General features: G+C 36.2%; 1 protein-coding gene across 2 annotated transcripts in view; it reads left to right on the top strand.

The window, feature by feature from the left end:
* EYS (eyes shut homolog) overlaps positions 1–15,033 on the top strand; it is a 1,987,247-nt gene that overhangs the window by 796,066 nt on the left and 1,176,148 nt on the right. For both annotated transcript variants that reach the window (NM_001142800.2, NM_001292009.2), the window contains exons 17-18: positions 8,661–8,757; positions 8,941–9,048. In NM_001142800.2, coding sequence (NP_001136272.1) covers positions 8,661–8,757; positions 8,941–9,048 — 205 coding nt within the window. The remainder of the gene's footprint in view (positions 1–8,660; positions 8,758–8,940; positions 9,049–15,033) is intronic.

The raw sequence follows: 15,033 nt of genomic DNA, 5'->3' as shown, positions 1-15,033 counted from the left end.
CACTGAGAGTGAAACTTGTTGAAAATTATTCAATATCAGTGAAGCTAATTTATTTACTAGAACAATTCTAAACATTCTACTACGTAGAATATTTTACTTAGCCTACTTACATGTCTAAGAATGTAAGAAACATATTATTATTTCTGAGAGTATAAGTAGGCTAAGTAAAATAGAAAAAAAATCTCAGAATATAAATATTTATTGAGGAGGCCATAGTATATTTATTCACTTTAGACAAACTTCCTTTGTTTTCACCAGAGATAATTTTCTGCAAAGTGGGCATTGTTTTCAAACCTTAATATTTTAAAAATTCTTTTGCTATTTATAAGTGCATTTAATAAATTTATAAAATATAGTGATATTTCTTTCCTGCTACGGGTTTAGGGAAAGAAAGTTTGGAAACATTTTAAAACCCTCTAGTCATATATTGAACTAGTAATGATATCTGCTGTCCCATTGAACATTGACAAAGATGTCATGGGGAGAATTTAGATTTCACTATTATTAAATAAATGTAATCTTATTTCCCCTTAGTATTTTATTATTGTACGTAAGCCAAATCAGAGCTTTGGCTAGAGTGGCAGGTAAACACAGTGAATTATGTGTTTATTCCTTTGTGATTGTGATTCAGTACAAAGAGATACTTGAAATGCACATCATTTTTTAACTAATTTGCATCTATGTTTTTCTAAACCTAATTGTGGAGTATGTTTCTGTAAATCAGATCTGAATACTGTAATAACGTGTCTTTAGTAGTTTTAAGTTCTGTAGCAGATGAAAAATTAAAGGCTGTAACATTGCTTTTAAAAACCACCTCAGAAAATTCAAAAGTTGACTATGCAACATTTTAGAAGCTTTGACTGGGTTACTTTAATAGCTTTATTTAAAATAGGTTCTATGTCAAAGCCAGTATATTGTTTTTAAAAGAAAACATTTTATCAAATTTAATTCTCACAAGTATCAACATTTAGAACTACAAAGAATTCCAAGACTTAACATCTACAGATATGATTTGGAAGCTCCACTGGATCTCTTTGTAAGTTGTTGGTGTTTGTCAATTGACTAAAATAGGACAGGTCGTAAGAGTAGAAATTTAAGGCTTTAGGCTAAGGATTCAGCGTATGTATTTCTGAACTTGTTTTCACAGTTTTTAGTCAGTCTGTAGGGTCTCTCACTAGATAAATATGAGTATAGGTAAAATTTCAGCCAGAGTAACAATGCGACTGTATGTTAGAAAACTATATTAGAAATGACATTCAAATTCACTCTGAAGGACCAGCAAGTAGAATAACTGATACTTTTGGGTTTACGTCAGACTGCATGCTTAGCAGGTAAGCTATTTTGGTTAGTGTGATTGAAATATATAGTAAAAATATATACATAGTAAAAAATATATATATAGTAAAAATAATCTAATCCTTTTAGCAAAGTAAGCTACTTAAAAAATTATCGGTATAGTTAAGCACCAGAACTATTGTGATCCTGCTTTGTGAGATAAATAAAGGGCAAAGCTTCTGTCTTCTGACTAAAACTGCGGTGATTAATTGGGTCTCTATGAATAATGAACATTTTCTACAGGAAAATGAGGAGGCAAAAGAGCATGTGACAGTAATAATTCAATATGGTTATTTTATATAAAATCTTATTAGTTTGGCACAATATCTGTAAGAAAATAGGCACAATATCTGTAAGAAATTAGCTTTAATAAATAGAAAAATAACACATAGGAAGGCACATTTTATGAGATTTCTATAAACAAATGGGTTTTATTTTTGACACCTCAATAGTGTTAGCTTTGATTATTTAGTATGTAATGAATTTACACACCTAGAAATTTATTTTATTGTAACCAACTTTTTTTGCCTCTATAAACTGTACTCCATACACAAATACATATCTATCTTGTAACTGCTTGTTGTTAGTGTTCTAGAAATTTTAAAAATATTAACTGATTCAACAAACATACTGATTTCCTATGATGTGTCAAGTCTTGAGATAGGTTCTGGAAAAATTAAACATGGTGAAGATATGCCCTCAAGGAATTGAAAGTTTAAGGGAGAGACATACCAGTTAATTAACCATTAAAGTACAATGCGGTAAAAGCTTTTGATAGTGACAGGAGGCAGCCAAATGCCTAGACAGATAAGGGTGGGTACCCGGTGAAACATCACCTCCAAGCCAATGCCAGTTTAAAGCTTGAAAGCCAAGCTATAAGTTAAATTCTCAGACAGGATTGAGAACTTGTCTTCCTGTTTGGTGCGCTTTCCTCTGATTGATCCCCACCCTTCACCTATTTTACATATACCTGCCCTTTCCTAATTGGTTTTCCACACTGTTGTACCCACCTTTGAGTCTTGTCTTCACTTTAACTTTTGCACACTCACAAACCAATCAGCAAGCACTCCCCATCCTGTGTCTATAGAAACCCCAGACTCAGTCAGTAGAAGATGAGATGGCCTGACTTTCGGGAAGAGACAGCCTGACTTCAGGTTGTACAGGAAGACGACCTGTCCTTCCTGTACCCTCTCCAGCTCCCCTCTCCTCTGAGACTTGTTTTCATCACTCAATAAAATTCTCCACCTTCACCACCCTTCAATCATCTGCATGACCTCATTCTTCTTGGACACTGGACAAGAGCTTGGGACCCACTGAGTGTGGGTACCCAGAAAGGCCGTCCAACCAGCCCTTTGCCCTCCCTGGCAAAGGGCAGCCACCCCATGTGACGAGGCAAGGCACCAACTGAGCTGCTAACACACTGCTGTCTGTGAATGGTGGAACTAAAGGAGCACTGTAAAATCCCCTCTGGGGCTTCAGTGTCACAGGCACCCTCACCTGGGTTCCACCATGTTCCCGCCAAGGCAACACACCTGGTCAGGCTGGGGGCCCGTGTGGAGCTTGCTCCTGTTTCGGCATCTGGAGTGGCCAGCCAGGTCCTGCACTTGCTGGCATATGTGCTCTCTCCCCCAAAAGCTTGAGCATAATAGACCAAGTAGATGGGGCACCTCTCCCACGAGTCTGCCAAACGGGCTGAGAAAAATCCTGCATCACTTCCACATTTATGCCAGAAATATGCACAAGGGATGACAAGTTGTGGATACATAGCACTGCTTTCTCATTTCTGTTGACAACTTTTAGTTATGTTTCGCATGATTTATAAGAGAGTCTCCAGCATATGAAGCCTCAGTTGCCCACAATTATGTGCTCATTAAACCACTCTCTTCCCTGCTTTATTTTCCACTCCCTTGCAATAATTCCTGGGATCTGGGATCACCTCTCAAATAAACTACTTGTGAGAAAATCATTATCTCAGACTTTTTTTTTTATTTTATTTTTGGAACAACCCAAGCTAAGACACATAGTAAATTCCATCCCCATGGTAACTATGATTTACCTATGTCTGGGCATGCATGTGAGTGGAATATTGGCATTCAGACCCCTTCTTTAGAGTTGATGCTGAGAGAAGAGGCCTTCTCTTTCTGCCAGATGTTTTCAATCAGTACAGTCAACTACCATGTTCTCTTCATGTGGAGATGATCTGTATATAGTAGGATAGAAGTGTTTGGGGAAGGAATCCTGGCAGAACTTACAGTTCTTTCTTCAATTTTGTGAACTGTCTGGTATCCCTCTCAGCTGGGTTACCAATATATCTCACTTCTTAACTAAGTTCATGTTTTTATTCATATGTTTATGGCCATTAGAGTAATGGCTAAAACATATAGTGAAGGCAAAGAGTTAATTAAGTGGGAAAGGTTGAATAAACTGGTTTCAACTTCAAGCTGGTAGAAATCAAATATAAAATATATCACTTGAGGGCCAGGCACAATAGCTCACACTTGTAATCACAGCACTTTGGGAGACTAAGGCAGGAGGATTGCTTGAGGCCAATAGCTCCAGACCAGCTTGGTCAACATAATATCTCTACAAAAAAATTTAAAAAAAATTAGCAGTGCGTGGTGGTTCATGCCTGCAGTCCTAACTGTTCAGGAGGCTAAAGCAGGAGGGATCACTAGAGCAAAGGAGTTTAAGGTTACAGTGAGCTATGATCACACCACTGCATTTCAGCTTAGGCAACAGAGCAGGACCTTGTCTCTAATAATAAAAAATAATAATAATAAATACCACAAAACCACATGAAGATTAAGAAGGTAAAGACGACTTCAAATAAAATGCATGAGAATGTGTGTGTTTGTAGCATAGAGTAGAATTATTATGTTACCATGTGTGTGTCTAGCCTAGAAATACATGTCAAGAATTAAATAATTTCTTTTCTAATGTTCTTTTTATGAATGGTTCTTTATCTTTCTACTTTGAATTACTCCACTTTCTCAGTTTATAGGCAAAAAATTACCCTATCAAATACTTCTTAATTTAATGTAAAGAGCTTAGTTTCTAAAATAGCTACTTTGTATGTCTTCAAGGTGAAAGGAACAGAAGTTTCTTTAAATGACAGGATTAAAATGTGGCAAAGATGCCTCACAAGGAGCTGCAGTGAGAGCAGAATCAGATCATTTACATGTGCTATTGATTTACAATTGGGATCCTACGCTTGATGGAATTGCAGTATCATGGGAGACAAGTAGTTGCATTTAAATGTGTCTATTACTCCAGTATATATACTATCATTATGTTAATTCCACATTACCTAAGGTATACAAGTACAAACACCAAATAAATGTGTCATTTGACAAAATAGTTTGTATAAATTAGAAATTACTCCTGTTGACAATTAAAAACATGTACCCATGTTGTAGCACATACCTGTTAAGGTTAATAGCTGTAGAAATTTGAATTTAGAAAATTCCTTAAAGAAAATACATACATAATTAAACATAAAACATGTTAAATATTTATTACTTTCTAAAATATTAGCTCTTCTTTTTTTTAAGTTCACTTTAAAAATAGATGTTAAAAATCTTATTAGAGACTATTGGAAATATTAATTCTGTATATTCATATTTCATAGTTTTTAAAGTTAAATTTAAAGAATTTCTTATATTGGTTAATTATTTTAGAAAATGTTAATATTTGAATACAAATATTTTTAAATAAAATAATATTTTTTTAAAAAATCTGACTTGCTAAGAAAAACTTCTGAGGTGTTTTTTTGTTTTCTTTTTATCAAGCTTTTAAATCCAGAGAAATTAGATTATTTAATTAAGAATAAATAGAAATAATACATTTAATACTTTTGAAAGAAAAACATTTTTAAGTGTTTGAGTTTTTATTTAAAAATATATGATTTTTAACTACCTTGTGTGAATTCATGCTATGGTATACACTAGTTTTTTTCCCTATTTACATTCATTTCAAATTATTCCAACTAATACCAAATATGAAGTGGAGATTGTTAAAATATAGTCCTGAATGATAAAATGCTATGTAAAATGATTTTTATGAAAATTTCATTATTGTACTCTGTTCCATACATTACCTTCTAGAGCAATAAAGTGCAAAAAGGCTGAATTTGTTAGAAAAGAGAAAATACTAAGTGATTTTAAAAAATAATACCTACAATCCAGACTGATGCAGATCTTACATTTGAGCAGTAGGTTTTAAAAATCAATTTTGTGTATTTTGGAGGAACGAGTGCAGAAGTATAAAAATATCATTTACTGACCATTCGTGTGTATTTGTTATAGCCATACACAGACGAGACAGTGTAAGAAAAGGATCAAGACAGTATCCATTTAAGAAGCTTCACTTTTATGCATGTAAAGATCCTCCCTGCAGTTAACAAAGTACGGCCAACCGAATAGTTCTGAGTAGGAATAAAGAACAGGGGAACAGCATAAAATTAGTAATAACAAACTTTCTGTTTGGGCAGTTTCTTACCTGTAACTTCATATATTCAAAACAAGTACCTTTCACAGAAATGAATATCAACTTCTAACATTAAGGATTATAGAATATGTAGTTTGGGATTAAGTATACAGTCATGTATTGCTTAAAAATGGGGATATATCCTAAGAAATATATCACTAGGCAATTTTGTTGTGTGAACAACATAGAGTGCCCTAACACAAACCTAGATGAGATAGCCTACTGCATTTATAGGTCCATTATAATATTTATAGATCATTGTTATTAGAAATGTGGTCTGTCATTGACCAAAATGTTGTTATGCAGCACGTGACTGTATGCATACTTCGCTCTTAAAATTCCCAAAACATAGGCTATCTCAGCAAAGCTTTGCTTTATATTGAATGCAATCCACATGTTATGTTTTCTCCCAATGTCTGCTGCATTTCGGCAATCTCATTTCCTCAACCCATTGACATATGTTGCTAGCTGGTAACAAAACTCCATCTCAGAAATGTCAAACTTAATAAATATGACAAAATCACAGGAAACAAGGTTATCCTGTGAGCTACCCAAGGTCCTGGGCCCTGAGTGTTCTGATTCATCAGCACAGCTGAAATCATGGAGGCTCACTGGTGCTTCTTTATAGCCAGTCAGTGCCCCTGAGTTCCACTGCCTCAAAAGAACATTTCTAAGAATCATTTTAGTGTCAAAATGCCCTGCCTCCCAGAGAAAACTAACCAGACTTAAAGTAGAAATGGTGAAATACACTCAACTTTCTCAATTTTTAACTTGTGAAAAATCTAACCTCAATCAAATACTTAAAGAATTAAACATCTTTTGAAAATAGAATCTAAGTTGTTTATATCTGTACTATGGCATTTACAACCTAAATATAGAAAACAGCAATGGCGATTGAAGAATGATGAAGCATGTTGGAACAATTACAACTTGCTCACCTAAAATGAGGAGAGCCATAATAACTTGGAAGTAATTCATTTTAATTTTGTTCCTAAAGCTGAGGATACAACACCTAGCGTATGAACGAATTACAAAAATGTAACTTCAGAGATTCATTTGCAGGCTCTGAGAATTGAGTAAGAAAAATAAGGCAAATTAAAAATATTGCTTGTCCTGAAGACTACCTGGTCTGCTAGCCCCATAAGTATGGCAGCTTACTTACAATTAGTGTTTCATAGTGTGTGATCATTCCATCTTTTAAATGTTAACCTATCATTGTTGTTATGTTTTAAATAAATTTCTTTTAGATATCTTGTAGTTTCTTCTGTTATTTAGTCTGCCTCTACCTTTAAATTGGCGTTTTTAAAAATCATATTTAATATAACTTTTGATATGTGTGGCTGTAAATACACCTTCTAGCTATTTGTTTTCTATTTGTTGTATCTGTACTTTGTTTCTTTTTCTGTTTTCTTTTGGATTAAGTAACTTTTAGTTTTCCATATTATATACTACCGAAGAGGCAGCCAGATTTTATAAGGTGTAACACCAAGCTCCCTGTTAAATTGCAACGGGAGGCAGGTTTGCAGTTTGATCCAATGGTAGACACCACAGAGAATGGCATTGACTGTGGCATGGTATGATATGAAAAGATGAAATAGGTCAGTCAATTCCGTGTTCTATCGTGGGAATCTGAGTGAGAAAATACCGAGGGAATTTTTCATTGAACAGTAGGTGCTGAAGCTGAAATGTCATAATATAGACATAGAGACCAAGAAAGCTGTGCTATATCACTCGCATGCCAACATTACAAGTGATTTGAAACTGAACATGCTGAGATATTTGTGATAGAAAGAGAAGAAAAAGTGATATGAGAAGGATAAAGGACATGTACTGTAAAAGGAAGACAGCTATTCCTGGGTAGCTAGACTATGCTTCCCTTTAAATGCTTCTTAGTTCCAATTCCAGTCTATGTGTATGCAAACAATGAATACAGTTTTCTTAAAGTAACCTGAATGACTCTTTGTTCCTCAAACTAAATTAGCCTGATTGCATACTGACATTTAGAATATTGTGTAATGTGGCTGCACTTATTTAGTGCTTGGTAATATCACTGAAAAAGCAAAATAAAGGGAAATCTTGTTTCTTACATGTTTGAACTAGTACAGAAAAAATATTAACAAGAAAAATGGTTTTACACATATATTTTGTTATACTTAGTTAATATATAACCATAGAATTGTTTAACTGTTTATTATAAATATTAATATATTTCATTGTATTTTAAAAAGTGATATCATGCAGGTTTTTTCTGACACAAATGTGTTGAAATAATTGCAACTGTCTTGTTTATCAGCCTGTATAATTTTCTTTCATGTTCATTTTTTTTAATATAACTGGCATGTGTTTAAATGGATGACTGATTATGTAGCTGTGAATCAAAATAATTTGTTTTCTTTGAATCACTTGGATATAAAAAGCAATTAAATAATTTGCTTCATCTGCTAACTGCCTTGAATAAATTTGATCATTGAAGCTCAATTTTACTTTAAGATTGGTCATCACATTAATTCATTTGCTTTCCAGATCATTTCAATTCTTCTTGTTCAAACATTTAAATACCTTAAAACAACAGCAACATTAGCAACATCTCTACCTTCTCAGGGGATTTAGTGGAGTATTCCTCCCTTGAATATTTCATTTAAACTCATTAATCTAGAAACTGGCATGTTTTTATGCACACATTATGTGAAATGGAGTTTTATGAGAAGCTTGAGAGTAATTATTTTCTTTTTCCTTTTTTAACCTCCATTATGAGTGTATTCTTTAGACTACCACTGATTCTGATTTTTTTACTCTATAACAAGGATTGCTCATCCATACTCATCTCATACTCTTTGCAGAATTTGAAGGTAAAAACTGTGAAATTGATGTGAAAGACTGCCTCTTCCTTTCCTGCCAGGATTATGGTGACTGTGAAGATATGGTCAACAATTTCAGGTACAGAAAACTTAAAAAGTATCTAGATACATGTTTATGTGTCTAGATGTATACAGGTATAGAATTTTAATTGGTGAATTAAGCAACAATTATAATTATTAAAAACTTGCCATGCTACAATTAGTTGAAGCATTGATTTTATACATATATACTAATGGAGTTACTAAATTTTTTGTTTAAAAGGTGTATTTGCAGACCTGGGTTTTCTGGATCTCTGTGTGAAATTGAAATTAATGAATGTTCCTCTGAACCTTGCAAAAATAATGGAACATGTGTGGATCTGACAAACAGGTGAGAAGCTACTTTTTATTAAATTAATTATTTGATGTGTGTAATTCAACAAGAAAGTGAGCACACATGTGCTCATTATGTAACTAAGGCAGCTGATCACCACTGATACATTTGTGCTTGTACCAGCACATCCTCATTTGTCCCATCCAATCACTTATGTCAAAAATCTCAAATTTTTATTTACCAATCTTACTGTTAGTTTATAGTGCTATTTGTATGTGTGCCTGAGCAAAATGCTCCTTAGTTTCCATGTTATTATAAGCAAAACAATATTGTGTAGAGTCTCCCGAAATTGTTGTTGAACATAATATTTTGTAATTCCTGTTGATGCATGTATCTGTTGCTCATTTTTAACTTTTATACAATATTTAATATTAAATATATACCAACATTTATCATTCTACTGGTTATAGATATTTGGACTATTTGCTTCTTTTGTCTTACCTACAATGATATTAAAGTTTTCAAATATTTCTCTAAATACACAAGTACTAGTATGTCCGAGGTTACATACATAGAAGTAGAATTGTTGAACCATTGGGTAAACATGGTCACATTTGCTAAATCACATTTATATTTTTCTCATTTCTTTTGAAAAATACAATTTTTGTATTATTAGCAGGGAATAAATGTTTTTATTGGCATTTTCAGAATGTTCCATTTTAGGCTGTGTGTAAAGTTATATCTTATTGTAGTCTCCCTGCATTCTTATAATAATATGAAGTTTAACAATTTTATGTACATTTTGAGATGATTAATTTTGCCTTTTTAGAAATGCCTAATTATGGCATCTGCCTATATATATATATATATATATACTCAACTACATAGGTATTTCTCCTAATGCTATCCCTCCCCTTGCCCCCCAACCCCTGACAGGCCCCAGTATGTGATGTTCCCCTCCCTGTGTCCATGTGTTCTCATTGGGCAACTCCCACTTATAAGAGAGAACATGCAGTGGTTGGTTTTCTGTTCTTGTGTTAGTTTGCAAAGAATGATGGTTTCCAGCTTCATCCATGTCCCTGCAAAGAACAGGAACTCATTCTTTTTTATAGCTCATAGTATTTCATGGTGTATATGTGTCACATTTTTTTTTTCCAGTATAACATTGATGGGCATTTTGGTTGGTTCCAAGTCTTAGCTATTGTTAATAGTGCTGCAATAAACATGCGTGTGCATGTGTCTTTATAGTAGAATGATTTATAATCCTTTGGGTATATGCCCAGTAATTATATTACTGGCTCAAATGGTATTTCTAGTTCTAGATCCTTGAGGAATCACCACACTGTCTTCCACAATGGTTGAACTAATTTACACTCCCACCAACAGTGTAAAAGCATTCCTATTTCTCCACATTTTCTCCGCATCTCTCTAGCATCTGTTGTTTCCTGACTTTTTAATGATCGCCATTCTAACTGGCATGAGATGGCATCTCATTGTGGTTTTGATTTGTATTTCTCTAATGACCAGTGATGATGAGCTTTTTTTCATATATTTGTTGCCTGCATAAATGTCTTCTTTTGAAAAGTGTGTGTTCATATCCTTTGCCCACTTTTTGATGGGATTGTTTGTTTTTTTCTTGTAAATTTGTTTAAGTTCCTTGTGGATTCTGTATATTAGCCATTTCCCAGATGGATATATTGCAAAATTTTCTCCCATTCTGCAGGTTGCCTGCTCACTCTGATGATAGTTTCTTTTGCTGTGCAGAAGCTCTTTAGTTTAATTCGATCCCATTTGCCAATTTTGGCTTTTGTTGCCATTGCTTTTGGTGTTTTAGTCATGAAGTCTTTGCCCCTGCCTATGTCCTGAATGATATTGCCTAGGTTTTCTTCTAGAGTTTTTATGAGTTTAGATCTTACGTTTTAATCTTTAATCCATCTTGAGTTAATTTTTGTATAATGTGTAAGGAAGGGGTCCATTTTCAGAGTTCTGCATATGGCTAACCAGTTTTCCCAACACTATTTATTAAATAGGGAATCCTTTCCCCATTGCTTGTTTTTGTCAGCTTTGTCAAAGATCAGATGGTTGTAGATGTGTGATGTTATTTCTGAGGCTTCTGTTCTGTTCCATTGGTCTATATATCTGTTTCGGTACCAGCACCATGCTGTTTTGGTTACTGTATCCTTATAGTATAGTTTGAAGTCAGGTAGCATTGTGCCTCCAGCTTTGATCCTTTGCTTAGGATTGTCTTGGGTATATGGGCTCTTTTTTGGTTCCATACGAAATTTAAAGTAGTTTTTTTTTCTAATAATGTGAAGAGAGTCAATGGTAGCTTGATGGGAATAGCACTGAATCTGTAAATTACTTTGGGCGGTGTGGCCATTTTCACAATATTGATTCTTCCTATCCATGAGCGTGGAATTTTTTTCATTTTTTTGTGTCCTTTCTTATTTCCTTGAGCAGAGATTTGTAGTTCCCCTTGAAGAGGTTCATCAATCACTTGTAAGTTGTATTCCTAGGTATTTTATTCTCTTTTTAGCAATTATGAATGAGAGTTTACTCATGATTTGGTTCTCTGTCTATTAATGTTTGTCTATTAATGTCTATTATAATAGGAATGCTTGTGACTTTTGCACATGGATTTAGTATCCTGAGATTTTGCTGAAGTTGCTCATCAGCTTAAGGAGTTTTTGGGCTGAGACGATGAGGTTTTCTAAATATACAATCCTGTCATTTGCAAACAGAGATAACCTGACTTTCTCTCTTCCTATTTGAATACCCTTTATTTCTTTCTCTTGCCTGATTTTGTTATTTACCCAGTAGTCATTCAGGAGGAGGTCATTCAGTTTCCATGTAGTTGTGTCGTTTTGAGTGAGTTTCTTAATCCTGAGTTCTAGTTTGTTGCACTGTGGTCTGAGAGACTGTTATGATTTCCATTCTTTTGCATTTGCTGAGGAGTGTTTTACTTTCAATTATGTGGTCGATTTTAGAATAAGTGCTATGTGGTGCTAAGAAGAATGTTTATTCTGTTGATTTGGGGTCGAGAGTTCTGTAGATGTCTATTAGGTCCACTTGGTCCAGAGTTGCGTTCAAGTCCTGAATGTCCTTGTTAATTTTCTGTCTCATCGATCTGTCTAATATTGACAGTGGGGTGTTAAAGTCTCTCACTATTATTGTGTTGGAGTCTAAGTCTCTTTGTAGATCTCTAAGTACTTGCTTTATTAATCTGGGTGCTCCTGTATTGTATGCATATATATTTGGGATAGTTAGCTCTTCTTGTTGCCTTGATCCCTTTACCGTTATGTAATGCCCTTCTTTGTCTTTTTGATTTTTGTTGGTTAATGTCTGTTTTGTCAGAGACTAGGATTGTAACACCTGATTTCTTTTATTTTTGATTTCCATTTGTTGGTAAATATTCTTCCATCCCTTTATTTTGAGCTTATATGTGTCTTTGCATACGAGATGCATCTCCTGAATACAGCACACTGATGGTTCTTGACTCTTTATACAATTTGCCAGTCTGTGCCTTTTAACTGGGGCATTTAGCCCATTTACATTTAAAGTTAATTTTGTTATGTGTTTAATTTGATCCTGTCATTATGATGCTAGCTGGTTATTTTGCCCATTAGTTGATGCAGTTTCTTCGTAGTGTCAATGGTCTTTACATTTTGGCTTGTTTTGGCAGAGGCTGGTACCCATTTTTCCTTTCATGTTTAATGCCTCCTTCAGGAGCCGTTGTAAGGCAGGCTTGGTGGTGACAAAATCCCCCAGCATTTTCTTGGCTGTAATGGATTTTATTTCTCCTTCACTTGTGAATCTCAGTTTGGCTGGATATGAAATTCTGGGTTGAAAATTCTTTTCTTTAAGAATGTGAATATTGGTCCACACTGTCTTCTGGCTTGTGGGTTTTCTGCAGAAAGATCCGCTGTTAGTCTGATGGGCTCCCTTTGTAGATAACCCAACCTTTCTCTCTGGCTGCCCTTAACATTTTTTCCTTCATTTCAGCCTTGGTGAACATGACGATTATGTGCCTTGGGGTTGCTTTTCTCGAGGAGTATCTTTGTGGTGTTCTCTGTATTTCCTGAATTTGAATGTTGGCCTGACTTGCTAGGTGGGGAAGTTCTCCTAGATGATATCCTGAAGTGTGTTTTCCAATTTGGTTCCATTCTCCCTGTCACTTTCAGGTACACCAATCAAATGTAGGTTTAGTCTTTTCACATAGTCCCATATTTCTTGGAGACTTTGTTTGTTCCTTTTCATTCTTTTTTCTCTAATCTTGTCTTCTTGCTTTATTTCACTAAGTTGATCTTCAATCTCTGATATCCTTTCTTCCACTTAATCTATTCAGCTATTGATACTTGTGTGTGCTTCACAAAGTTCTTGTGCTGTGGCTTTCAGCTCCATCAGGTCATTTATGTTCTTCTCTAAACTGGTTATTCTAGTTAGCAATTCCTCTAACATTTTATCAAGGTTCTTAGCTTCCTTGCATTGGGTTAGAACATGCTTTTTTCGCTCAGAGGAGTTTGTTATTACCCACCTTCTAAAGCCTACTTTTGTCAATTCGTCAAACTCATTCTCCATCCAGTTTTGTTCCCTTGCTGGTGAGAAATTTTCATCCTTTGGAGAAGAAGAGGCATTCTGGTTTTTAAAATTTTCAGCCTTTTTGCACTGATTTTTCCTCATCTTTGTGGATTTGTCTACCTTTGGTCTTTGCTGTTGGTAACCTTCGGAGGGAGTTTTCACGTGTTCGTCTTTTCTGTTGATGTTGATGCTATTGCTTTCTGTCTGTTAGATATCCTTCTAACAGTCAGGCCCTCTTCTGCAGGTCTGCTGGAGTTTGCTGGAGGTCCACTGCGGACCCTGTTTGCCTGGGTATCACCAGTGGAGGCTGCAGAAAGGCAAATATTGTTGCCTGCTCCTTCCTCTGGAACTTCATCCCAGAGAAGCACCTGCCAGAGGCCAACCAGAGCTCTCCTGTATGAGGTGTCTGTCGACCGCTGCTGGGAGTTGTCTCCCAGTCAGGAGATATGGGAGCCCTGGACCCACTTGAGGCAGTCTGTCCCTTAGCAGAGCTTGAGCACTGTACTGGGTGATCCACTGCTCTCTTCAGAGCTGGCAAGCAGGAATGTTTAAGTCTGCTCAAGCTGTGCCAACAGCCGCCCCTTCCCTCAGGTGCTCTGTCCCAGGGAGATGGGAGTTTTATCTATAAGCCCCTGAGTGGGGCTGCTGCCTTTCTTTCAGAGATGCCCTGCCCAGAGAGGAGGTATCTAGAGAGGCGGTCTGTCTACGGCAGCTTTGAGGCACTGTGGTGGCCCCCCCCTCCACCAGTCTGAACTTCCTGGCGGCTTTGTTCACACTGTGAGGGGAAAACTCCCTACTCAAACCTCAATAATGGCAGACGCCCCTCCCTCAACTAAACTCCAGCATCCCAGGTGGACTTCAGACTGTTGTGGTGGCAGTGAGAATTTCAAGCCAGTGGATCTTAGGTTGCTGGGCTCTGTGGGGGTGGGATCTGCTGAGCAAGACCACTTGGCTCCCTGGCTTCAGACCCCTTTCCATCGGAGTGAAGGGTTCTCTCTTGCTGGTGTTTCAGGTGCCACTGGGATACGAAAAAAAAAAAAAAAAAACAACAACTCCTGCAGCTAGCTCAATGTCTGCCCAAACGGCCACCCAGTTTTTTGCTTGAAACCCAGTGCCCTTGTGGTGTAGGCACCTGAGGGAAACTCCTGGTCTGTGGGTTTCAATGACCATGAGAAAAGCATAGTATCTGTGCCAGATAGCACCATCCCTCACAGCAAGGTCCCTCTGGGCTTCCCTTGGTTAGGGGAGGGAGGCCCCTGACCCCTTGCACTTCCCAGGTGAGGCAGTGCCCCACCCTGCATCTGCTTGCCCTCCGTGGGCTGTACCCACTGTCTAACCAGTACCAGGGAGATGAACTGGGTACCTCAGTTGGAAATGCAGAAATCACCTGCCTTCTGCGTTCGTCTCTCTGGGAGCTGCAGACCTGAGCTATTCCTATTCTGCCATCTTGCTGAGTCAGCATCT

The sequence above is a fragment of the Homo sapiens genome, chromosome 6, assembly GCF_000001405.40.
Source record: "Homo sapiens chromosome 6, GRCh38.p14 Primary Assembly".
Taxonomy (NCBI): domain Eukaryota; kingdom Metazoa; phylum Chordata; class Mammalia; order Primates; family Hominidae; genus Homo; species Homo sapiens.
This window is presented reverse-complemented; position numbering and strand designations above follow the sequence as displayed.